The sequence below is a fragment of the Homo sapiens genome, chromosome 8, assembly GCF_000001405.40.
Source record: "Homo sapiens chromosome 8, GRCh38.p14 Primary Assembly".
Classification (NCBI taxonomy): Eukaryota; Metazoa; Chordata; class Mammalia; order Primates; family Hominidae; genus Homo; species Homo sapiens.
The window spans coordinates 88,533,675-88,560,749 of record NC_000008.11 but is presented as its reverse complement, the minus strand read 5'-3'; the positions used below and the strand labels follow the sequence as shown (position 1 = coordinate 88,560,749).

General features: G+C 35.5%; 2 long non-coding RNA genes across 7 annotated transcripts in view; one reads left to right on the top strand and one right to left on the bottom strand.

The window, feature by feature from the left end:
- LOC105375630 (uncharacterized) overlaps nt 1–27,075 on the bottom strand; it is a 559,756-nt gene that overhangs the window by 326,850 nt on the left and 205,831 nt on the right. For 2 of the 4 annotated variants that reach the window (XR_007060996.1, XR_007060997.1), the window contains exon 3: nt 8,115–18,070. This is a non-coding gene — a long non-coding RNA (uncharacterized LOC105375630). Of the gene's footprint in view, nt 1–8,114; nt 18,071–27,075 lie in introns of those variants that run through there. The other 2 variants (XR_001745653.3, XR_007060998.1) reach the window with 2 other exon arrangements.
- Nucleotides 1–27,075, top strand: part of LOC105375629 (uncharacterized) — a 113,196-nt gene that overhangs the window by 38,146 nt on the left and 47,975 nt on the right. The window contains exons 3-6 of one of the 3 annotated variants that reach the window (XR_001745651.3): nt 4,636–4,833; nt 7,940–8,005; nt 10,666–10,693; nt 14,142–14,233. This is a non-coding gene — a long non-coding RNA (uncharacterized LOC105375629). Of the gene's footprint in view, nt 1–4,635; nt 4,834–7,939; nt 8,021–10,665; nt 10,694–14,141; nt 14,234–27,075 lie in introns of those variants that run through there. The other 2 variants (XR_928383.4, XR_007060999.1) reach the window with 2 other exon arrangements.

The window sequence follows — 27,075 nt, the reverse complement described above, 5'->3', positions numbered from 1 at the left end:
TATCCCATATAGGAGTGGTCAAATCTAATCAACCTGCTACTACGTAGCAGGCTTATCACCCCAGAAAGGACTCAATCTTCATCTCTACTATTGGTAGACTGGGCATCTAGAGTAGCAGTAGCCAGGTCAGCCTTGAGAGTGGAAGTCCATGTTGCTGAGCCCAGACATAATCTCCATCCTTGCCACCATGACCATTTCATTCATTGTAACCACCCAGTGGTTACCTTGCCTGCTGCCTAGACAGAGCCGATTTCTCAAGACAGGAGAATTGCAATAGAGAAAGAGTAATTCATGCAGAGCCGGCTGTGTGGGAGACTGGAATTTTATTATTACACAAATCAGTCTCCCCCAGCATACGGGGAGCAGAGTTTTTAAAGACAACTTGGTGGGTGGGGGATGCCAGTAGGCCAGGAGTGCTGATTGGTCAGGGATGAAATAATGAGTCAAATCTGTCTTCTTGTGCTGAGTCAGTTCCTGGGTGGGGGTCACAAGATTCAATGAGCCAGTTTTTCGATCTGGGTGGTGCCAGCTGACCCATCAAGTACAGGGTCTGCAAAATATCTCAAGCACTGGTCTTAGGAGCAGTTTAGGGAGGGTCAGAATCTTGTAGTCTCCAGCTGCATGACTCCTAAACCATAATTTCTAATCTTGTTGCTAATGTTAGTCCTACAAAAGCAATCTAGTCTCCAGGCAAGAAGGAGGTCTGCCTTAGGAATGGGCTATTATCTTCTTTGTTTTAAACTATAAACTATAATAGTTTCTTCCAAAGTTAGTTCATCCTATACCCAGGAATGAACAAGGACAGCTTGGAGGTTAGAAGCAAGATGGAGTCGGTTAAATTAGATCTCTTTCTCTGTCTCTGTCATAATTTTGCAAAGGCAGTTTCATCGTGAGCCCATTTGGGTGATGACAGAGGTGGCTGAGAAAAGAGGCTAACTGGTATTTAAAACTGGGCCATTCTATCCACTTGATTAATGAAATTCTGTTCTGTGGACGCCACCCTTTGTTACTTATTCACATGGAAAACAAATATCTTTGTTTTTTTACCCATTTAGATAAGCCTATCAATATACCTCTTCCCCAGACTTACTTGTCACCAATTATGTTTTCTCCAAGTCCTTGATCATCCAAAGAAACCATTGAACATGCCCATGAGTTGGTGTATAATCAAATATCTTCTCATTTCTCTTTCCATGCAAAATGGACAACTAAGTGTAGTGCTTGAAGTTCACTTAGTGCCCTGCCCACTGGAGGGGATTTTTCTTCATTACTATTCATCAGTGATAGCCCAGAAATAGGCTTTAGTGCTGCCCCTGTCCACTTTTAGATGGTGCCTGCATAGTGTTTGGAATCACCTATAAACCCAAGACTTCTATTCCTCTATAAACTGATTATTTATCATGATGAAACTCCTGTGAAATCATAGATGCAGGCTGGGAGAGAGAGCATAGTATAACAGGAGTGGGGGCCATTTCATGTAACTTACTTGGGTCCCTATTTCATGTAACTTACTTGTCCCTTCAGGGCCTGCTCAGACCTGTTCTTGTATATACCACTTTCATTTAATAATAAAGTGCTGCAGTGCATGCCAAATTTTATGATTTGCTGGGTGAGATGACATGCAGTTCATGACAGGCTCAGGCCTCATGGTAACTTGGTGGCCATGGTTAAGTTTTCAGTTCTACTTAATAACAGTCCAAGAGCTGTTTCTCAAAAGGGAAGTAGTTAACTTTAAAGGATGGCAAAGTGTTGCTCCAAAATCCTAAGGGCCTAGAGTTCAATTAACCTATAGAGGCTTGCTAAAGTCTCCAAACAGCATTCCTATCTACCACTGACAATCTACCATTGGATAGGCTGGATCATGTGGCCTAAGTGATAGAACCATTGGATAGGCTGGATCATATGGCCTAAGTGATAGAAGAGATTTCACAGCAGCTTGGATCTGTTATGGAGCCTTTTCTTGTTCCAGGTCTTACTCAAAATCAGCAGCTTTTCAAGTCATTCCATATATGGTTTGGAGTAACACACCCAAATAAGGCATGCATTGCCTCCCAAATCCAAAGAAGCCCACTAGGTGTTGTTCCTCTTTTTTTGGTTATGGGAGGTGGGGGCAGATGCAACAACTTATCCTTCACATTAGAAAGGTTATCACAACATGTCCCACACCATTAGACCCCCAGATATTTCACTGAGGTAGAAAGACTCTGAATATTTTTTTGATAAAAGTTGTCCTATCCTCTGACACACAAATATTTTACCAATAAATGTAGAGTAGTTGCTACTTCTCACTCACGAGGCCCAATTAGCATAATGTCATCAATGCATTGGACCACTGTGATACCTTGTGGAAGGGAAAGGTGATCAAGATCCCTGTAGAGACTAAATTATGTCATAGGGCTGGAGAGTTGTTATACAACTAGGATAGGACTGTGAAGGTGCATTGCTGGCCTTGCCAGCTGAAAGAAAACTGCTTCTGGAGGTACTTATTGACAGATGAGGGTGGGAGGTGGAGCATTAGCCAGATCAATCGCTGGATACCAAATAGTAGGGAATGCATTAATTTGCTCAAGCAATGAAACCACATTTATTACAGTAGCTGTAATTGAAGTTATGACTGGTAAGCTTATGATAATTCACTGTCATTCTCCAAGATCCATCTGTCTTCTGCACAGGCAAGATAGGAGTGTTGAATGGAGATGTAGTGGGAATCACCACTCTTGCATCTTTCAGATCCTTGAAGATGTCACTAGTCTCTGTAATCTCCCCAGGGATAGAGTTTTTCTTTTGATTTACTGTTTTCCTCGATAGAAGCAGCTCTAGTAGCTTCCATTGGGCCTTTTCTACCATAATAACCCTCAATTCATAGATTATAGAACCAATGTGAGGATTCTGTCAGTTACTAAGTGTGTTTATTTCAGTTAAGAACTCTGGAATTAAGGAAATAACCATAAGATGCGTTCAGGGATGCACTGGCCCCACTATGAAACAGACCTGAGCTAAACACTCTATTGATCACCTGATCCCCATAATTCCTTACTGTAACTGGAGGGCCACAACTCCCTGCAGTCTCTGAAACATGTGATTATTTCCTTTTCCCCAGTGTACAGTTAGTAACCCTAATAAAAGGCCATGGGTCCCTTTGGGGAAGGCTGAAAGAAACATTTAACAGTATAAATTTTACTTAGTATACTTCGGTTTTTCATTGAGGAGATCTAGCCTCTCCATTCAAGGAGTTCTCAGTCTACAAAGGCTTAATTATGCAAATTGCTTGAGGGAACATGACTCTCTGTTTTTATAATTTGGGTTGAACTTTTTTTTTCTTTTTCTTTTCCTTTTTTTTTTTTTTTTTTTTTTTTTTTTGAGACAGAGTCTGACTCTCTGTCGCCCAGGCTGGAGTACAGTTGCATGATCTCAGCTCACTGCAACCTCTGTCTTTCAGGTTCATGTGATTCTCATGTCTCAGCCTCCTGACTAGCTGGAATTACAGGCATGTGCCACCATGCCCAGCTAATTTTTTTTTATTTCTACTACAGATAGGGTTTCCCCATGTTAGCCAGGCTGATCTCGAACTCCTGGCCTCAAGTGATCCACCTGCCTCCACCTCCCAAAGTGCTGGATTATAGGCATGAGCCCCTGCACCTGGCCTTGGGTTGAACTTTTATTCATTGACCTAGAACTTTTCTGCTTATATAGGTCAAGTAAGATTTTAGTCAGCTTCCTGTCTTTCACTTCTAGAAACACCCTATGATCAACTAGCAAACACCATAGTTCTAAAAACTCAAATTATTCTTACTGTTGTCTTGACTTTCTGTCCATTACGGTAACCACAGCCACCTTGCCTTTGATGGTTGAGTGTTATTACTCAGCCCTGCCATCCCAGGATCCAATTATTCCATTGCTATTAGGTTTCCCAGTTTAGTGACTGCAGTTCCCACTGTAAGATGTGGCCTGCAGAGAAGATCACAGAGCTTTCTAGGATGCCAAGCCTCCACTCACGAGTTTATTTCTCACAGTGGTGGTAATAGGTATGTCTTCTGGACCCTCCCAGCACAGGTGAGTAGGTCTTAAATGACAAATCCATGCTAACATCCCAATCTCTCTAATCCTCTAAATCCTTTCCTCTATGATAAATCAAGCCAGGTTCAGCATTTTAACATATTTATTGTGGGCCACCTGTTGGTCCATGTTTCAGTAAAGCAATCAAACTGTCTAAGCCTTTTCTAACTCCTCCAACTGTAATATTAAATGCAGAATCTCTGCTTAGTGAATCCATATCAATGAATTCAGCCTGATCCAATTTTGATGTCTCTAACACCATTATTGCATACTCTTAGTATCCAGTCCCACATATGTTCCCTGAATTTGTCTGTATATATTAGGTAAGTAGATAGATTAGATGGATAGATACATGCATGCATACATACATACATACATACATACATACATACATACATACATAGATTTACTATAAGGAATTGAGCCACTGATTATGAAGGCTGAGAAGTCCTAAGATCTGCACTTAGCAAGCTAGAAACCTAGGAGAGCTGATGGTGTAAATTCTGGTCTGATGGATACTTAGCTCTAGAAGTCATACGTGTGTAGTTCCGTCTTACTCTGCCTTTTTGTTCTACACAGGTCTTCAAGTAATTGGATGAGGTCCATCCACATTAGGAAGGGAAATCCACTTTACTCAGTCTGCTGACTCAAATACATCCAGAATCACCCTTACAGACATGCAGAAGAAATTGTTTGATTAAATGTGCAGGCACTCCATGGCCCGGTCACATTGACAACTAAAATTAACCATCACAGGAGTCACGGAGTTTACACCAGGTTGTGAATTCATTACTGAAAAGGGAATGTATTGAACATCAATTCAACAAAAAATATTGGGGATCTGCAATGTGCATATTGCCAGATGCTTAGGGTAATCCACAAATGTAGAGAAAATACTTGCTAATCAAATATCGGATGAGACTTGTATCCAGAATAAAGAACTTCTACAACTGAACATTAAAAGACAAATAGCCCAATTTAAAAATGGACAAAGGATCTTGAATAGTCATTTCTCCAAAGAGGATATATAAATGGTCAATAAGCACATGAAAAGTTGCTCACCAGTATTAGCTATAAAGGAAATGGAAATCAAAACCAAAACAAGGTCCCACTTCGCAAAAACTAAGATGGCTACAATAAAAAAGATAGACAATAATTAGTGTTGGTGAAGATGTAGAGAAATTGGAATTCTCATATATTGATTGATTGTGGAACTCTCCTAAGTTGATGCAGCTTCTTTGAAAACAAGTCTGGCAGTTCCTCAAAATGGTAGACATAGAATACTATATGATACAACAATTCCAATCCTAGGTATATACCCACAAGAAATGAAAACTTAGGTTAACACAAAAACTTACATATGAATGTTTATATAAGCATTATTTATAATTGATAAAAAGTAGAAACAACCCAAATGTCCATCCACTGATGAATGGATAAATCAAATATGGTATATCCATACAATGCAACATTATTTGGCCATAAAAAGAAATGAGGTATTAATATATGCTACAACATGCATGAACCCTGAAAACATGCTAAGTTAAAGAAGTCATAAAAAACACACATTGTATTATTCCAATTATATGATGTAAGCAGTATAGGCAAATCTATAGATACAGAAAGTAGATTAGTAGTTGCCAGGAGCTGTGGGGAGAAAGGTGTAAAAAGTGACTGCTAAAGAACATGGGGTTTCTTTTGGGGATGATGAAAATATTCCACAATTAGATAGTAGGATTAGTTACATAACATTGTGAATTGTCAGTAAAACGACACCAATAAAATAACTCTCCAGAGAAGAAATCTTACTGCATGGGGGATAGCAAAGATCATAACAATGCCAGCCGACAGGAGCGGCAGTCCCAGGATGTCAACCCATTGCGTAGTTTGCAGGTAGGTGTTGAGGCTGCCAAAAAAGACATGGCTCACAGAGGCACTGGAAGGAATAGCACTTTACCCACATAAAGATGAGACAGAGAAAAATCAGCTTCAACAGTGAGCATTGGTCTCCAGTGGCCACTGGGTGTCACCTGATGGCCATCATGGAAAATTGTTTGCACATAATCCTTCTTATACGTCAGGTGAAGGACCCCATTTTCTGCCTATTAGTAACAGATATAGCAGTGGGGTTGGTCAGGTGTCATATGACACACACACTTGAGTAGAACAAAGAAGTACACATCAAACCTGGAAGAGGAAATGATATTGCTAAACAAGGTAATATACCCACTTGTTGGGTATATTTCAGCTTCTTATCTCCACTAAAGAAATATTCCAGGTGTGATGCATGTTCCCGTGCAAGTATGCAAGTGTCTTTAGGCCACATGATCACCTTTCCCAGAATGAATATACAGTACTAAAAAGCACTCAATTGCGCAGTTAGATATCATGCCATGTAAATTATATCTCCCTAAAACTGGTATGACAAATCATGAAAGTGTTTATGAAAAACAAAGGTGGTAAGATATAGTATTGTTCCCTCTCTTCAAAGATATTGCAATGCAATGATCATTAGGTAGGCAAGTAATAGCTATATGTTTCATGTTCTAAAACTATCATGTGCAAGAAGGTGACAATAATAACACATGCAAATATTTTGTAGAAAAATATGAAAACAATGTCAGTCACACATTCAATTGTTAATAGCTCATATGAATTAGAGCATACTAAGAGGAAAATCTTCCAGTAAGTATACAGTTAAATACAATGCATGAGTTTAGGTCGTTTTTTGTCACCCTAACCTCAAATAGAGTACTGCAGGGTTCATTTTAATACATAGCATAGCATTTTGATACATAGCATATCGAGCATTTCCTTTCACTCCCCAATAAATTGTTCACCTAGTGCTTTAATAGAATTAGTATCAATAATATAATATAATAATATCAATATTTGTAATGCATTCTGAGATTATGGAGAGTATTTCTTCAGTACAAAAAACTGTATATGTGAAGAAACGATAATATAGTCTACATTATATTTCTATTTTTATATAGAAAGTAGACCTTTCTTTGGTTCCTAGATTAGACCCAAGGAAATGAAAAGAGGTTAAAAAAAAGATTGAAGATTTTATATCTTATGTTAAAAAGATAATTAAATTTTATAAGTTAAAAAAAAACCTTAAGAAGTGTGAGGTACAAAGTCAATGTCTGTCAAAACATTTACATTCATTAAAACAAAAGAGCCTAAAATATATTATTGTTAATTTAATTATTATTGATGCTTACTAAGACCAAACGCTTTGCTAAATTCTTTGGGCGAATAATGTCATTGTACTACGTAAATACTAATATCAATTTTCCCATTTTAAGTTGAGGGATATAAGACTAAAAAACATCTGTTAACTTATCCAAAGTTACAGCCAGAATTCAGGTACAAGTGAGTCAGGACCCCAGTCTCATATTCAATTTTTACTAAATCATATATATTATATCTTACTTTACTATACTATTCAAAAAAGACCAAAAGAGTAAGAAAAATAGCAATAATAATTACAGCTAATATTTATTTTAAATATACATAGTACTAAACACAATGCTGAGTCTATGGTATCATCTAATTAAATTGAATATGGAGGATATCATATTGAATAGGACATATTAATATTAATGAGTATTATAAAATTAAATTCTATCACTAATGATGTTATGATGATGGTGATAACAAAGTTGAAAGAAAAGATATGTGGAGCATTACAAGAGGAGAATTTCAGGTCTGATTCTTAAACAGTTCAATTGTTAAGGATTTAGCAGGAAGCTTACGGTCTATCAAGTATGTTTTAATGGATATAGAGCATGAGTTTTTTTCTCTAACTGAAAAAGATGAAGTACAGGCTGAGTAGTCTTTTTTACAAGGTTTCTTTTTGCCATTTTATTTCTTGTAGAAAAATCAAGCTTTGTCTGAAGACCAAGTTTATTCCAAGGAGGGATCAATTTCCATCTTTTTAAGGGTATGAAAGGGGTTTAAAATTACATTAAATATTGCTCAAGTAGTTGAAAGTCAGTTTCATTGTGGACCCTATATTTTTCTGTTTCTCCTTGTCATTACTCAAAGCAATGAGCTAATATTTAAGATCCAATTTAGACATCTCATTAGGGTGAAATTAATTACTTTATGTCAATTATATTGAACTCTACCCTCAAATATTTTACAAATATTACAGCTTTGTTTGTTTATTCCTTTGTTTAATTTATTTGCCTGTAGTAAGAACATTACCTGTGATTTGATTCTGTAAGTTAGTTCCATATTGTATATCATGTATTGACTATTTCTTTTTTCAGTTCAATCATGAGCAAAGGTAAGATTTTCTATTATTTATTTAATGTAACCTTAGGAATGACTTGATAAATTTTATAGTATAATTTGACACACATCTGTTGTAATTGTTTTTGAAAGCTTTGATTGTATTTTGATCCATGTTGGTAAGTAAACAAAGTAAATAGACTTGGTGTGGGAGGAGGAGGTACAAACAGACATTAGAATAAGCACAGATTAATTGCACCGAGTGATTAGTTTTAGAATCAGTAACATTTGGTTGAGATATTATCCTTTTACTTGTAAATTTCATTCAATTTCATAAAGGAAAATTATAAAAAGCAAGTGACCATTATCTCTTTTATATGATCAGAACAGAAAAGAGTGTTATGAGGGAAAGAGGTGAGTGGGGATGGGCCCGTGCCACTTTAAGAGTATAAGGATTTAAAACATCATAGTAATTTAGGGATTTCTCCAAGAAGCCATTTGTTTCAGTTCAGTCACTTCCTTTTATAAAAGACAGCAACTCAGCTCAAAACGGCTCAATCAAAGTAGTATTTGGCTTACATTTTCTTACTTCAGGCATGAATGGATCTTGCTGTTCATACCATGTCAGTCCATAAACGGAATGTTATTGGTTCTGAATCACATAACATTATCTTCTATCCATCTTTGATCCAATCACTATGGCTGAAAGAATGATTTGTTCTAATAAACCATCCCTAGACTCTGTGATCATCCCTGGAATCAATGCCATCTGGACCTCATAGGCTAATAGTTGATGAGGTCTGGTTTCTCAAGGAAAATTGGGGTACACCTACCATGAGGAAGATGAATGAATGCCAGGCAGACAAATTAACAGGTGTCTACTAAACCATCTGACAAATAAAAACACTAGACATTAGATATTTATTATCATTGCTAGAGGCCAGGCACAGTTGCTCACACCTGTAATCCCAGCACTTTGGGAGGCCGAGGTGGGCAGATCACTTCAGGTCAGGAGTTTGAGACCAGCCTGGCCAATATGGTGAAACCCCATCTCTACTAAAAATACAAAAGTTAGCCAGGTGTGGTAGCGCATGCCTGTAGTCCCAGCTACTTGGGAGGCTGAGGCAGGAAAATTGCTTGAGCCTGGGAAGCAGAGGTTGCAGTGAGCTGAGACGTGCCATTGCACTCCAGCCTGGGCATCACAGCGAGGCTCCATCTCAAACAAAACAAAACAAAACAAAACAAAACAAAACAAAACAAAACAAAAAAACAATCATTACTAGAGAATGTAAGACAAGACATCCTATTGCAAATCTGGCTAGTGTCATTTTAGCTAAAAATGTATTCTGTTAAATAAACCTCTCTTTATCAGCTTCTAAGATACTGTATAACAGCAACATGGCTTAATTACTCTTCTTTCTTATCACATATCATATTGCACAGCATTCTGTACTTCCTTACTGGATTAAACTATTTTTGGATTGCACTGTTGCAAATTAATTTTGTTAGCTATTGTATATTAAATAACCTGGTTAATTTATTGCTTTTCTGTTAGTTTTATTTCTTAACAGGAAGAATATACTTTGAAAGCAAAAAAGGAACAAAACAGTTGTACTTAAACATGTGGTTTTAATACAGTGGTTTCTAATTCTTTTATGTAGTCAATTATTTTCATTTCAAATGGAATATAACTTAAAAGCAGCTTTGAGAAGCCTAATTAAAAGGAATTACTAAATAATAGTGCAGGCCTTGCTAACAGAGCACTAACAAAAGGAGAAATCATTAATAATTTAAAAAGCTATTCATGATGCTTTGTTCCAAACCACACAACCTTATATGTTTACCTGCTCTGATACCATTTAACAGTTGAAAAATCACTTCCTAATCCCATTCTATTCAAAGGCTCATCAGTGCCCTGCTGGCAGGAACACCGTGCTAACATTCAGTGTGTAATCATCTCTCAGCCTATCATTTTCTTAATTTGTTCCATTTGCAAAGCAAATCTACAAACTGACCTTTTGAATGAATAACTACTCTGAAATGGCCTCAAATAATATAACTGATGAATTACCTCCTTTTCTTCTGTCTCTTTAAACTGATCATTTTTGTTCTGACATCTCCCAATGTTTCCTGCTACTAAAATGTTCATGCTATTCATCCAGTCTTCTGTGGATTTGTATAAATTTACTCCTATGGGTAGCTGGAAGTTCAAAAGGATAATATTTATCTTTGTGAAAGACATGTATGGTGAAAACATCAAGTTAAAATTTGCTCTGTTTGCTTCCAACCTATCCTTCCACCCACATCTCCTGTCGGATTTGAATTATATTCAAGTCATGTTTAACCATCTACCACATTCTTCCAAAGCATTCTGCATAATCCAGCATTTCCTCAGGTAAGTGTTCCTTGATTTCTGGTGGGACTCCATTTCTATGGTTTCTAGCTTTAGAAAATTGCACACTTTTTACTCCTAAAGATATCAATATTTTCCATAATGTATGCCAGGCCATGTTAAGAGACAGAATTAAGCAGATGAATAAAGAGACTTAGGAGTTGAAAGGTTTGGGATAAGTATTTTGGAAAGAAAAAGCTGGCTAAGATCTCAGAAAATGTTTGATTGCCTTGGGGGTACTGATGGATAAGGTAGCTTAGAGACCATGATTTGAGCTGTCACTAGTTTATAAGCCATTATTATTTCCTGGAGCAGTATTCAGCTGCAATATGATGTGAAAAGTCAGCTGGAAAAAATACATCTATTTTCAACTTTAGAGATTATGAGAGAAAAAAATGGAAGAGTCATAGCACATCTAAGTTCCAGAATATGTCCATGTAGTAAGCTGTGGATTGGAGTCTTCAGGCTAGTGCTGAAATTGGATAGCTCTTTAGAACTATATTGTTGGGCATGTTTACCACATGAATGTTAGACTATTTCCCTGATGACAGTTAGAACTAACATCATAAAGATTATAAGCTGGGACTCATTTCTCTCTCTAATACTTGGGGAAAATATAATAATTGGGAGATTAAATATTAGGAGCAGCAGGAGGCAGGCAAATGCCTAGACAGATAGGGGTTGGTCCCCAGTGAAACCCCACCTCCAAGCCAAAGACAGTTTAAAACCTGAAAGCCAACCTACAAGTTAAATCCATAGAACAGATGAAGAACTTTTATTCCTGTTTGGTGTACTTTCCTCTGATTGATCCCCACCCTTTCCTAATTGCTTTTCTACGCTGTTGTGCTCACCTTTGAGTGGTTTGTTAACTTTAACCTTTTTGCATACTCACAAACCAATCAGCACATACTTCCCATTCTGAGTCCATAAAAGGGCTCGGACCCAGCCACATGGGGGACATTCCCACCCTCAGGTAGGGAAAACAGCCTCTGTGTCACCTCTTTGCTGAGAGCTTGCCTTTCACTTAATAAATTCTACTCCACTCACTCTCCCATGTCCACTCACCTAATTCTTCCTGGTTGTGAGACAAGAACTCAGACATAGCTAAGCTAAGGAGCAGAAAGACCTAATAATATGATAGTAAAGGAAGTTTTCAAATTGATTAGTGCTAAATTTCATGAATCTGAATAAATGGGTTCTCTTTCAATTAAAAAAACAATGGTGTTGATTTAATGCCATTGGTACCGGTATTTCTCCCTGGCCTGTAATACATTAGAGTGGGAGGCTGAGCCATTTCCACTCCAGAAGGTAACAGGCTGATTGCGCTCTGAGGGAAAACTGAGTCTTAGTGAAGGCAAAGGAAGAAGGAAATAGTTAATTTAGATCATGAAGCTATATACAAGTTTTAGAGCAGAGTGGTGGGGAAATAAAATCAGACAGAAGAAGTACTGGGCACCAAATGATGAGTGTGCACAAGAGGGTCATTTAAAGCTTGCATTTTCACCACAGTAGAAGACAGAAGTGAAAAATATTGACCGCTTGATAAAAATAGTGATTTTTGCTAAGAATTTTTCTTGTATCTCTTAAGACATCTCTTCCAAAAAGCTAGTTGGGAAGATTACTTAGATTACAATATATCCACCTTCTATTGGAAAAAGTTAGTTAAAATTCGTAGGAGAACCCAGGCTTTAGAAAGTGACAAAAGTGAAGATGGCTGTAGTGAATTTAAAGAAAAATCCTTCGCTCAAAGATTCCCAGGTGATTTATATTCTCATACACTCACTTCCCAATGGAAATGCATTATCTCTCTGTGGCTATAAAGAAAAAGCTTTATTGGAAAAGCTGTATAGCCACTGGGGAAATGGCCCTTGGTTAGAATTTCTTTTACACCACATGGAAGAGATCAATGACTATCCAATGGGTCTTCTGCCAAGAGAATCACAGCAGGTGGCATTTGATCTTTGAGGATATTTATTGTGTTTTCTCACCATGTTATATATCACTAATTCAATAAGCTCATATTATTTAATTTGTTCTTTTTGGATTTTATTTTTCAAAGTTTCTTATAGAACATCATCTTAAATAAACATTGTCCACATTCAAGACTTTGCATTTATCTATCTTGCTAGAAATAAAATGACTAAGAATATAAATTCAAGTAAGAATATGATGGTTTAAAGAACACCTAACATTTCCGCAGTACTAACTAGGTGTGAAAAACTAAAATTTTTTAAGTGCATAATATCATAACAGTCTTTTTATTGTCATGATTGTGTGTGTCCTGTCTTCTATTTAAAGTAAATTCAATTAGTTTACTAGGAACAGTATGTGATGTTTTCCATTTGAGATAGCAATGAGTTTACTGTCCTCCAGACAAAGTATTTGATCTTATGAATGCAGATAAATAAAAATAATTGCTACAGGAAAAGAGATGGGATGATGAGACAACACATGTTATAGTCTCACTGGGCTGCTGACTACAATACTGGTCAACATTAGGCTAGTATGAGACTCCTGTGAATTATAAACTGAAAGATTAGACTGGTGGAGGGCCCGTAAGAGGTCATCCATAAATCAATGAAGGAGTGCTTTCTACAATATTCCTGCCAAATAACCATCTGTTTAAACATTCTAGTGATGAGATAACTATACTTTTTGATTTTTTCTTTATAAATTACTTAAGCCATAGATTTATCTCAAGAAAGCTTTAGTCATCCCCATCATGACAATCTATTAGGATTATTCTTCAATATAATGTAATTATTGAAAATAACTACTATATCTTCTAACTTTGGATTAGGCACACCTTTGATAAGCATATCTTCTATGCTCCCAGGTGGTCTTGAAACTTCCTCCCATTTATTTATGCAACAATATACTTCTGATGTGGTCACAGAATCAGCTCTCAACTTTATTTTTGTTAGGTTTAAATTTGCCCAGAAAATGTAGCTTTTACAATTTGGCAATTAAAGTATACAAAAAGAGTATACAACAGAATTTTAAAATATTGTGTAGTATCAGATAACTATGATAGAAAATAATCTAATAGTTCCAGTAGACAGACCACTAAAATCAAAGAAGTTCAATAGTCAATAACAGAATTAACATGCTAGCAGATTAGTAGATTAAAATAGCAATGGAATAACATTTAGCAATCTTACTAAAATTTATATCTAAATTATAGAAGAAAGTTTTGGTAACCAGATCTCAGGGGAAGGACTCATAGAATTCTAAGAGGAAAGTCTTGGAATTTAGGAATGAGTATTAGAACACAACAGAAAATTTGTCATTTCCTTTAATGATTTAATTGAAATGAGCTGTTAGTAAACATCAGAACATAGTAATTTAAGTGCAGTATAAGTTCAGAGCCACATAGGAAAAAAAATAATTCAGCTAAATCATTGCATTATTGAATCTGCTGTTTTGTTTTGTTTTTTATTCCCTTGATTAGGAAATCAGATTGAATCCCAAGCCTGGGCCAGAACTGTCTGGACCTGCAGGTGGAGCTTCATTTGATGGATTTAGGAACAAGGAACCAGACAGGTCATTACATCAGAATTTAATTTACTGAATTTGGAGCACTAGTACATAAAATGCTTTCCTGAATTACTGAAGAGTTTATTTACAGTAAAATTTTACTTTAGATTACTTCCCTATATCATCTAGTCCACAAAATGGCAGGTCAGAATAGGCCTATTATGTAATACTGAATGGCATTGTAATTCTGGTTCTCTAACACCAACATTTTAATGAAATGCTACCTTTTTTTCTCAGTCTAGAACAGCAACCGCTCAATAATTCCAAAGATGCTAATTATATTATATATTTACATGTAATATATTCATCCGTTTGAGTCTTGTGATGAAGCGTAGTATACTTTGAGCTCTAAACAGTGGTTTTGAAAGAGGAGTTTGCCAAAAGGTAACTGTAAATATTATTCAAGTCACAGTTTCTTTGAGTCTCAGTTCTCTATTAAAAGGAAGTAAAAATAACTGGTCTACCCTCTTCACATAACCTTGTAACAATCACAATAATTGATGAATGTGAAAAGAAACTCTGGAAGGCATGAAGAAACTTTGTTCACTTTCTAGTCTCTAGTCTATGTCAAATGTTAGTAATTGATCAACCCATACCAGGCGCACAAGGATTGTGACTTTATTGTTGCTGGGGTCCACCCAGTTCAGAAATTAATCCTTAACAATACCCAGTAACTTAGTTTTCATATCCCTTCATTTCACAAGAACAGTATAAGCTATTAGTTGAGAAAAATATAACTTCTACTAGGAATTAACTGTACACAGATTACTAAATATTTAACAAGTATATAAGTAGTTATAAAAATAAGGATGATAATGATATTAAGTAACATCAAGTAATAATATCTATCATTCGTTAGGCACCATGATAGAACATTACTATGGATTATTAATTTATTCTCTACAACCTATGCTTGCCATATTCTTATCACCATTTTGCTGATTAAAATGAAACAAAACAAAAGAAAAGTACCATATTTCAGGATGCTAAGTAGTACACTCAAAATGAAAGAATCCCAAATTGGATTCAGGTTGACCTGTCTTTAAACCACTAATAGCCACTATGATTTAGACTGAGTATATAGCAGCAGGTATATTTCTCTGTAAACTATCACGTATCCCTTAGTGCTTTAAAAATAATGATAAGGAATATGAGTTCCTCATACTTGGTGCGGTGCTTGCTATATTGTTGAATCTTGTTTTAATATCAAAAATTATTCTCTTTTCAATGAGATATTTAGGTAAACCCAGACAGGAATGGTTAAGGGAATGCCTTTGTGCTAACATTATATGTAACTTATAATTTCATAATACAGATTCAATGCTTATCTTTTTCCTAGATACTGTCCAATAAAAGGAAGGTATAACTAAAAATAATACATTTTATACTTCAGACAAACCAAACTTTTAGTGTAATATTCTTATAGGTCTGTCTTTCATTATGCTTTTTCCTTTACCTGTATTTATTCCAAAACTTCCATCTCTATGGTGTGAGTCTAAGTTTTCTGCTGATCATATTTATTCAAGTAAAACTCTTCACTATTACAACTCAAAGTTTCTAAAAAATTATACTTGCATTGGATGTAGGTCTCATACACCTTTCCAAACTCCCTCAACTGCCTTCACCTTAATTCTTCCTGGTTGAAGCTCCACTTCTTCTGGATGACCTCTTCATTTCTAGACTTGGAAGAAAGTCAGATGCAGCTTGAAGCTGCAGTGACTAAACTCCCTGTGGGATGAAACTTAATCTGTAAAATATGTGTAGGGAGAGAGGCGGTCAGTAAATTCTCCTGCCATTTGCTCTTCCAGAAATCTGGAGTTCCACTAAACAAGTGATCACCCTGCTGAGTGACCTGCTTTGCCTTTTTGTAGCTCCTTGTGAAGTTAGGAGTCATGCTTCTCATTGTTTTGCATCTTTCTTAGCATCTCTAGTCTTTTGATTTTTTTTTTCCCTAAACATTCTCGCAAGAAAATCTTTAGTATCTTATTCTTGGCTTTCCAGAAAGCTGTAATAACACTTAAAATTCCTTAAGAATTTGTTAATTTTATTTTTAGTGTCCTTAGGTCAGTGATTTTCAAAATTGTATTTTTTTGGTGAAGGAACCATTTCTTCAAATACATTCTAAGAAGGAAAGCAACGTGCTTAAGTATAGGAAGAGCTGCTAAATTGAAGTAACAATGTGTGTGTGTGTGTGTGTGTGTGTGTGTGTGTGTGTGTCTCATCTGGAATCCTACCTTTTCATCTTGTTTTCCCTTGGGGAAATGCTGAAGTACATCTTAGGAAACCATAGAGCTTACTGCTCAGAAGATGATTTGGAAATAAGGGCTCTATTTCTGATGCTCCTTGTTACTTCACATCCTTGTAAACATGCAGGACCTTCTGAGATGTGAGCCTCCTCTAATATAAACTCAGCAGAAAGGCTTGCTAAGGTTTGTGGGAATGAGAATACTGTCTCCTCTTTGTTATTGTAAAGTGAATTATCTTTCTCTCTCTCTCTCTCTCACCCTCTCTCTCTCTCTGTCAGGAAGAGAACAACTTATATTCCAAGTACTCCATAAAAAATAATGTTTTCCCATTTCTTAGAAGATTTTTACTTTTGTTTTTTTTTTCCAAGTTACATTGCACCACCCACTTTTCACCCACTCTAGCTGTAGCAGCTTGAATTTTTTTACTGGACTCTTACATGTGCACATACATATTTATTATATAAGTATTTTCAAACCATAAAGGGATAAGGAAATATAAAGTATTATAAGAATTATAAGAGCTCTACTAGTTTTTAAAATCAAACTATCTGGGTATAATTATACAAAGGCTCTACTGGAATTTGCATTTTATTAATACCCAAAATTCAACTGAATAAGCATTTATTGAGAGCATACTTTCTTTAAGATCCTTTACTAAGAAACAGAGTCACCCAAATATAAATGTCACAATCCGCTAGAAAATATAAACAAGTACACAACAATGACTCAATTCAGATTGTGCTGCCTAATATCAACAGATGGAAACAAAGGCATTTGTTATGGGAATACAAAGGCATTAAGTAATCAGTATTGAATGAGAGGATCAAGGAGGGCTTCATGGAGTAGACGACGGTTGAGCTGAAACCTGAACTATTTCAATAGCCTAAGAAGATAAAAGGTACAGAGAGAGCATCACAAGCAAAATGTGGAGGTGTGATATGCTCAGATTACAAGTATTCTGAGAACGGAGGAGGCTAATTTTCACTTGTAAAGCAATTACCACCAGTAGTCAAAACATTTTGGAAGGCAGAATGCACTATTACAAATCATGCTGGAGCACTGCTCCACAATGGCAAATTTTAAAAATGCTTGACACATGTTCCGTACATTTTGCACTTGTAAACGTTGTGCAATGTCCAATATAGCTTGTAGGGTGTCTTGATTAAGATCTAGAGGAGAAGTGTGAATGAAGTCCCATGTCTAATTTGTGCCTTAGACATTTAAAATTTCCAACCAAAAGCTATCATTCCATTTGTGTAAATAAGTCAGGGGTCCAAAAATATCATAGAAAAGCAGCTAGGATAACACAGAAATTTTAGAAGAGTGTCTATGATAGTTTATGGAAACAAAGGAGGCCCTAATTACTTTGTACCATTTAGAGTCCACGTTAAACCAAGACTCTTCCCAAGGTTTTCACCTCCCATCAATGCTGCCCAGAGAACTTACAAAGGACGTCAGCTGCTCACCCTTTCCAGAGACATCCCTGCTTCTTGACAGCCCTTGTCTCCTTAACATACCTCCAGCCTTCTTCAAGCAGCATCGGGTCGGCTCTGAATCTAGGTCTGTTTAGACTTAAAGTCTCTGCTTCTGTGCTATCCTGAAAGTCAAAGGAGAGATTTCCCAATTAAACCAGAACATGTGCAGCTATGCTTGCAAATGTGTCACATTAGCTTGGATTCAAGTATAAGTCAAAAAACCTGTAGTCAACCTCCTACTTACATCTGTGAATAAGCACATAAGCAACTGCAGGGTTGTTCAGGCTAAACAGATGGAGGGTCCTGTCAGGAACAGATTGTGGTAGAGCTAGGATGTAGGATGAAATGCCACCCCCTCTGAACTGAGAAACATATTCAGCAGCAGGAAAGACGTCCTTTTTCATGTAGACATTCTTTTTTAATTCTTCACATTTAACTGATTCTAAGGAAAGGTTAAATCCTTTTGTCCTCCATACATTTTTTTTCTTTGTTAGTTTCATTTTATTTCATTTCATTCTACTGGATTCAGATTATATTACATCCACTTTAATAACCACCACCATATATATTTTAATGCTGCTGTGTGTATAATCATCAAACATCATTAACTAAGTTTATTAATGTAAATATCATAATATATAAGTAACATATAATACATTTAACATTGAACAAACTAAACATGTGAAGCTATTTTCAGATACATTCGTTAAAAAATCGAAAATTATTTTTATTAAAAATTACTTGAATTTTATATATCTGAGCAATCCTTAAAATGATCATGTACATAATCATGGAATGTACATGAAATTAATGTTAATGTGCTTGAAAATATTGTCTTATTAAATTTAGAGCCTCTATGATAGTTCATTTTAACAATTTTCTCAAGTTACAATTCTATTTTAAGGTAAAGAAAAAGTTTATTTTAAATTAGGTCCATATTCTGTAACTCAATCACTAACAGTTTTATTTACCACATAAGTTCGAATGAAGGGAAAATTTTAAATATGAACAAAATGTGATGGCATCATATGCTCTTGGTTAGGTATGTGTTAAACTATCTTATGCATCACACAAGCTATCCATTTTCTTGAGTAACATGGCTCAACTGTCCAGATATTCAGCATTTCAGTAGCATAAAGAACTTTGGAAGAGTTTCATGTTTATATGATTTTGTTCCTTGGTACTCAAGTAAACAAATATCAATGTTGGTCTGTTTTTGAATGATTATGTTTTACATATAACAGTCCCATATATATTAGTAAATATATTTAGTACCAGCTTTTGAGAGGTTATATTATCGGAAATGGCTCAATTGCCCTTAAGAAGATGACCTCATTCTATATTTAATATAAAATTCATCATTTAAAGAAAGAGAGGGTCTCAGGGAATTATTATAAAGTTTTATTTCACAGTGAATAAAAATAATTCTACTGAGAAAGGGCACTCATTTGCATACTTTTCTTATTCTTTTCTAAATATTAAAAGCCTTTTGGAAATGATGTTAAGAGAAAAGAGAAGAATTCTACTTGGGAATTCATGACTTACTGTAACGGAGACCACTAATATGATTATATTGATCTGAAAGGGTTTTTTTATGAGTATGTAGCATTTTGAAGGAAAACAACTTCAATTTTCATACACTTTTCCATTAACTGAGTAAAGCAATTATAGACTGGACTGTAACTTCAAATTTGAGACATTCATAATTACCTCTCAAATTAGATCATCTTGAAATAGTTTTGTAATATTATAGCCAAGAAGGGAATAGAAGTGGAGAAGAGGTTATTGGATAAATTACTTGTATTTGTTCAATTAACAGGTGTTTATTAAGCAATCATAAGCAGTGATATGTGCTTGGGATGCAAAGATTTCTAGGAGCATTAACTGCTCACAGAGAGATCATTCTTCAGTGGGAGAGGTAAATGTGCAAATAAAAATATGAATGAAATATAACAAGTGCAAAAGTTAAGGAAAATGCCAAGCACAATATTAAAGACGTGAGCTGGTTTCTTCCCACTGCTTAAAATAAATATGATACAAGAAAGATAAATTGAGGGAATAACTTTTAAATATAAACTTTTATCACCCTATTGGCTGTAATATTAGGCAAATATTTCAACTGAAGATAGTTTTAAGATAATCTAAATTTGAGAAGTAATTGTAAATATCCCAAATTTGAAGTCATAGTCCAGAATATGATTGTTTAACTCAACTAATGTAAAGATGAGCTTAATGATTTAGGAAATTTTCTATCCAGAAGGAAAAAAATTCAGTTTAAGAGGTTTGATATCCAGAAAGTATGCCTTAGAGAAATGATTGAGAGTATGGCTATATAATCTTGTGCTGGTTCCCCATAAAGATTAGAAGCTCATAGTATTCAGGAACACAAACCATTTTTTAGCAGATTGAGGGCATGATTCATAGATCTCTTCAATCAAATAACAGGATATCTAGGAAGATTAAGGACATCATCTGAATAATCTCAGCAAAAGCCAAAAATAAAGAGGGGATTATCTAGGGAAAATCTGTGAAATAGCGTCTTGACCATTTGACATAATACATGTGATATACAGAGGAAACTCATGAAGTTCTTGAAAATGTTACATGAGCAGAAAGAGACAGAGAGAGAGAATTTGAAACGAATAGCTATTCAAGACCCCAAAAATTCTACAAGCAGGAAATAGAAAGATAAATATTTAGCTGAAAACACATACTATGTTTTATAATAATAAAAAAAAAAAGAATGGCTCAGAGGATGGAGTTGCCCCAGAAGGCAGAGTCACAAGCCATAGTAAATTATTTTCTGGCCTTGAAACCCAATGGAGTTTATACAACTGGTTTTTGGAATTGGTTGGGACTGTAGCCCTTTTTTATCTTCCATTTTCTTTAATTTAGAACTGAGATGTCTATACATATTATCCTGTGCTTGTCCCATCATTTGGGAACAGACAGTTTGTTTCCTTAGTTTCACAGATCCACAGATAGAGAATTGTGCCCAGAGTGGATATACCCAGAGCCTCACCCATACCTAATTTACATGACATGCATAATAAAGTCTGGGACTTCTGGGCTGATGAAATTTAGACGGGATTTTGAATTTTTGGTTGATAATATAATAGGTTGAGACTTTGAGTGACTTTGAGATGAGGAAAATCTATTTGGGATGGATGCTAAAACTTGGGGGCCAGAGAACAGATTGTAGTGAGCAGAGTGATATCTCCCTAATAATAACCCTCCACTAATCCCTAGAATCTTTGAATATTTTGTTTCACAAGGCAAAAGACATCTTGAAAATTTTATTGAAGATAAGACCTTGAGATCTGGAGATATTTCTGATTGTGAGGGCAGGCCTCATCTAATCATATAAGTCCTTAAAAGCAAATATTTCCTGAATGAGAGAAATGACATTATGAGAAGCATTTGATGCTCCATTGCTGTTTCTGAGATGTAGTGACTATGTTCTAGGACCTGAGAGAGGTCTCTGTGAGCTAAAAGCAGCCCTAAGACAACAGCCAACAAGGAAATAGAGAGTTCAGTTCCACAATTGCATGGAATTGAATTCTACCAACAACCTGAGTGAGTAAGAAAACAGGTCATCCTTAGGGTCTTCAGAAAGAAATGCAGCCACCAACACTTTGATTTTAGCCCAGTGAGGCGAGTTAGATTTCCAACCACAGAACTGCTAGATGATAAATTTGTGTTCTTTAGCTATTAAGTCTGTAGTGATTTGTTATGGCAGCAGTAGATAACTAAGACAGGTGTTATGAAACAGGTAAAAGTAACACAGAGTCTTCAAAGGAATAAGTAAAAATCTACCAGAAAAGAGCAAGGTAGAGAAGCATGGTTTGTCATGGTGTTCCATATGGAGCTGTTGGTATTATAATACTAAGGCAGAAAAATGGGGAACTGATGCTGCTAAAGGTAGAGTAAGTAAAATAGCTTTCAGGGAATACATTCCTATAGTGCATCGAGCACAGTAGTAGATAAGTTTTTTCTTATTAATGTGGAAGATGGAATTGTATAATATTTACAAAAGTTATATATAAAGGTATTGTAAATATTTTAGGTGTTTTGGCATATCCAGGTTCAGATACCAAAAGTAGGTTAGATAGATGAATTTCTCTCTCAGAAAAAAATTGAGAATCATCAGCATATGAATATAGATGATATCATGGATATAGATAAACATACCCAAAGGGGTTGCTTTGAGTGAGAAGAGATGATGGTCAAGGATGAAACCAAGTAAATATTTTGTGTTAAAAGAAGACCCAGGAGAAGAAGCTGGTGATATAATCTTAATGATATAAGCTAGTGATATAATAAAAATAAGTATAATATTCAAAAATATGAGTATTATATGTATGTTGACAAAGAATACAAAAGAAAATAATTTTAACAACAGATTTCTCAATAGCCAAGTCCACCAGAGATGTCAGGTAGACAAAAACTGAAAAACAACCAGTTAGTTGAGCAATTTCACGAGAACATCAATCTTAATAAAAGCATTTCCCATAAAATGGTAAAGTCAGAAGCAAACTTCTCAATATGGTAAAAGATTTCTGGGAGGCAAAGAAGTGGAAAGGGTAGTTTGCAATTTCAAGATGCTTGTTGATGTGTGACAGAGTGGGAAAGTTTTTTTCCTATGTAATTTGATATGCCTATTGGCAGAAAAGAAAATGATGGCAAGGAGGGAGATTTTGAATAGGATTCAAAAGAGAGGCAAATTAACAAATCTGAGATTTTTGAGGAAGGGAATGAGTCCAGGGAAACAGTATGAAAGCTTAGTGTTGGTTGAGAAAGGAAGTTGCCACTTCCTATGAGACCAGAGATAAAAATGAGTGGTGATAAAGTTAATTAAATAGCAGAAGGAAGGAGAGGTCAAAGCCACTTATGCCCAATAACATTTGTTGTATCCTTAAAGTGACATGTGTTTATCTATGGAGAGGAGCATGAGTCTAGGGTACGACTACTGAGGAGACTGAAGATAGCTTGTAATACCCTCTGTTATAATCAGCTGGAGCTGCCATAACAGATGAGTAAACTGAAACACTGATAAATTACGGTACTTGCCACATTTACTTATTAAATAGATAGTATTACATAATGAGCAACATATCTATTTAATGATCACATAATTATAATTTTATTTCAGGAAATATAGCTTTAAAATCTGTGTTTACCTTACACAATACTGGTAATTCAGAGTAATAGAATAATTGAGACTCCAAATTTAGAAGATAATATTAATAAGAGTCAAGTTGAAGTTAAAACCTTAAGATCTGGAGTATATAGTACATATAGGGAAGCCATCAGGAAGATAATGCATGCTGAAAAAAGTGAGGGATTAAAGACAATGCATTTGGAAAATTGTCATTGTTATTATAAAACATGTACAATTCCTAAGAGTGCATGGACTGTCATAGAAAATACATCAATGACCACATTAATTTTACTCCTAATTCTCAATTATGAAATCTCAATTATTCTTGTGCTCTGAATTAGGAGTACCATATAGGGTAGAGCATAGGTTTTAAAGTGTTATTTCTTGGAATCAAATTATAATTGTGTGATATGTATTTAATGAGCAAGCGTGGCAAGTAACATAACTGATCTGTGTTTTAGTTTCTTCATATGTAAAATATCAATAAAATGGATATATAATAATTCCTACTTCACCAATAGTATATTTGTGAGGGATAACTCATAAAAAAACATGTAACATGATTTAGAGCAGTGTCCAACACATACTAAGTGCTCAATAAATTTTATCTCTAGTTGGTGCTGTTAATAGCATCAGTAGTATTGTGTAAATATCTTATCAAACATTGTAAAAAGTGTCTTTTTCCAAGTGAGGGATGATAGCAGGAGCAGTGCTCCCTTTCAAAATTGAAAGTGAGATGTGGGAAGGGAAGCAAAGATGCTCTAAGTCTCAGAATTAGGGGATTGTGAATGCTTCAATTCATTACTTAATTGAACAATGGATAATATTTTCTGTTTTCATAATGGAGGCAATGAAACTTTACAATTAGCTCAAGTCAGCAGCTCTTCCTTGAAATAATTTTTTGAGTAAGCTTCCTTTCTACCTCCTCTACTGTAATTCCTGAAATTGCTTTCTTGAGTTTAATCCTACTGACAGATATGATTGAAAGTGTAACACTTGGGAATCCTTTAAAAATAAATGAGATGAGAAAGATGTAACTAAAAATAGATGGTATTAACTGAGAGAAGTGTCAATCCAATATGTAATTCTGAACACAGACAAACATTAACAACTATAGCTGCCTAATGGCTCGTCCAGCAACCTATCTGTTTAATGAGCAATTAATCAGTGACTACTATATGTCAGTCACTTTGTTGTGCACTTGATAGAAAGGCCCAACACTGGCTCTCCAAAATTAAAAGATCACTTGGATCTCATCATCATCAGAAAAGTCCTCTGGAAATTGGAGGAAGTCATCCTGTGGGCAATAAATTGAGCAGAACAATATTTAACTCTATTCAACTCTAGAAATCTGTTAGCTAAATTGGAGACCATGAAAGGAGAAACATGGGCTGCAATATCCTCAAGGACATTAAAGTTTAATACAAATGAGAGTTATTACGGAGCTGTGAACTTCTTGGGGAAAGAGCATGTTTAGACCCTGAGACCTAAGAGAGTGCCAACAAAGTTTGTTTAGTAAAACTCTGGTGTTCTAAGAGAAAAAACAAAAAAAAACAAACAAAAGGAATCTGTTCCATCTTTTCTCCTGGAATGACCCACATTATATCTACTTTGGTTTTCTCTTCCACCTCCCCAAGGTTTTTGGTTATTATCCACTTTACAATAAAAATCCTCTTACTACCTTTCATTCCACAGTTAGTATTAAAACAAAATAATAATTATTACAATGTAATAGGCCTTCTTTTATAACTCTACAGGCATTTTAATTACACATTATACTTACAATATGTACACAGTTTTTATACAAAAAGATAAATATTTTCATTCCATTATCTTCTCAATTTTGTGGTTACATGCTAATGCTTACTCATTCTTTGTTTTGATTATTTCTCTTTTCATAAAAAAATTTAATAAAGAAAACAGGTCACCTCAGGAACGTTTAATGTGCAATACATTGGCTTCTCCCTGATAAAATTTTGGGCCAATATATTACTCTTACGTTGCAGAAAAACAATGCCAAAATTGAAGGATCAGGATATACTGAAATATTAAAAGACAAGGATATATATTGGCTTTGATCTGTCCATAAATTCATTTAGTACTCTTTTCTAGAATTATGTTCTCTATACTTGCCTCTTACAACAAATCCAGGGGGTGCAGGCAATGACCTAGTAAATAAACTCACAAGAGGGCAGGAAAATATGAGGTCAGTAGATGATGCAACCTCTAAAATGAATCCAATACGTTTTGCTACTGTATCATTCTGATAGCTGACTAGAACATTTAAACACGTGAAGCTTAATAACATCTACTGTTTTCCGGATATCAGCACCAACTAAACTTTTACAATAACCTTTTCTTATGTTCTAATCCTGTTTATTTAAAAATATGAGTGTATGGAAAAAAACCTACAGATTTACAAGCTGTTTATCTGCCACTTTAACAAAATTATCAATTTTTCCTGACTGTCCTATATCTTTAGATGAGAGTTGTACAGAAAAAAATAGCTTTCACAAACTAGAAATATCAGCTTTCACCTCTGGCTATTCTCACAGCATTCTAGAAAAAACAGGCTATGGGTTATTTTCGTAATCATATTTTTCAAATAATTTATGTGCAGAAAAACAACGCTATCTTTCTTCAAAAAATTCAAACAAATACTATATATATATTTTTTTCTTTTTTTTTTTTTTTTTTTTTTTTTTTTCTGAGATGGAGTCTCCCTCTGTCGCCCAGACTGGAGTGCAGTGGCGCGATCTCGCCTCACTGCAAGCTCCGCCTCGCGGGTTCACGCCATTCTCCTGCCTCAGCCTCCCGAGTAGCTGGGACTACAGGCGTCTGCCACCGCACCTGGCTAATTTTTTGTATTTTTAGTAGAGACAGGGTTTCACCATGTTAGCCAGGATGGTCTCGATCTCCTGACCTGGTGATCCGCCCACCTCGGCCTCCCTAAGTGCTGGGATTACAGGCGTGAGCCACCACGCCCAGCCATACATAATATATTTATATAGAACTACTTACAAGAAATTTTTGTGTTGTGGTTTTTCTCTTCCTAACATCTTTCCCTTAATCTTTGACATTTTTCAAGACTCATATTTGAAGACAAATAAATCAAGATGAAATTAGGAACTTCATTAAATGACACCTATTTCAGGACTTCAAAGAAAAATCAAGCACTGAAGAGACAATGTTTGAGGCCAACCAACTCCCAGCTGGCTGCAGCTCAGGCTCTGAATAAGTCAGGGGAAGGAAATATTAGCAAGTGAGAAGAAAGAGTGGATGAACCAATTATGATTTTGAATGGGAAAGAATGTCACCCCTATTTTCTGGTTTTGAAGATAATTCTTAAAACTTTGAAAAAGCAAAACAAACAACCCTTCATGCTAAAAACTCTCAATAAATTAGGTATTGATGGGACATATCTCAAAATAATAAGAGCTATCTATGACAAACCCACAACCAATATCATACCGAATGGGCAAAAACTGGAAGCACTCCCTTTGAAAACTGGCACAAGACAGGGATGCCCTCTCTCACCACTCCTATTCAACATAGTGTTGGAAGTTCTGGCCAGGGCAATTAGGCAGGAGAAGGAAATAAAGGGTATTCAATTAGGAAAAGAGGAAGTCAAATTGTCCCTGTTTGCAGATGACATGATTGTTTATCTAGAAAACCCCATTGTCTCAGCCCAAAATCTCCTTAAGCTGATTCAGCAAAGTCTCAGGATACAAAATCAATGTACAAAAATCACAAGCATTCTTATACACCAATAACAGACAAACAGCCAAATCATGAGTGAACTCCCATTCACAATTGCTTCAAAGAGGATAAAATACCTAGGAATCCACCTTACAAGGGATGTGAAGGACCTCTTCAAGGAGAACTACAAACCACTGCTCAATGAAATTAAAGAGGATACAAACAAATGGAAGAACATTCCATGCTCATGGGTAGGAAGAATCAATA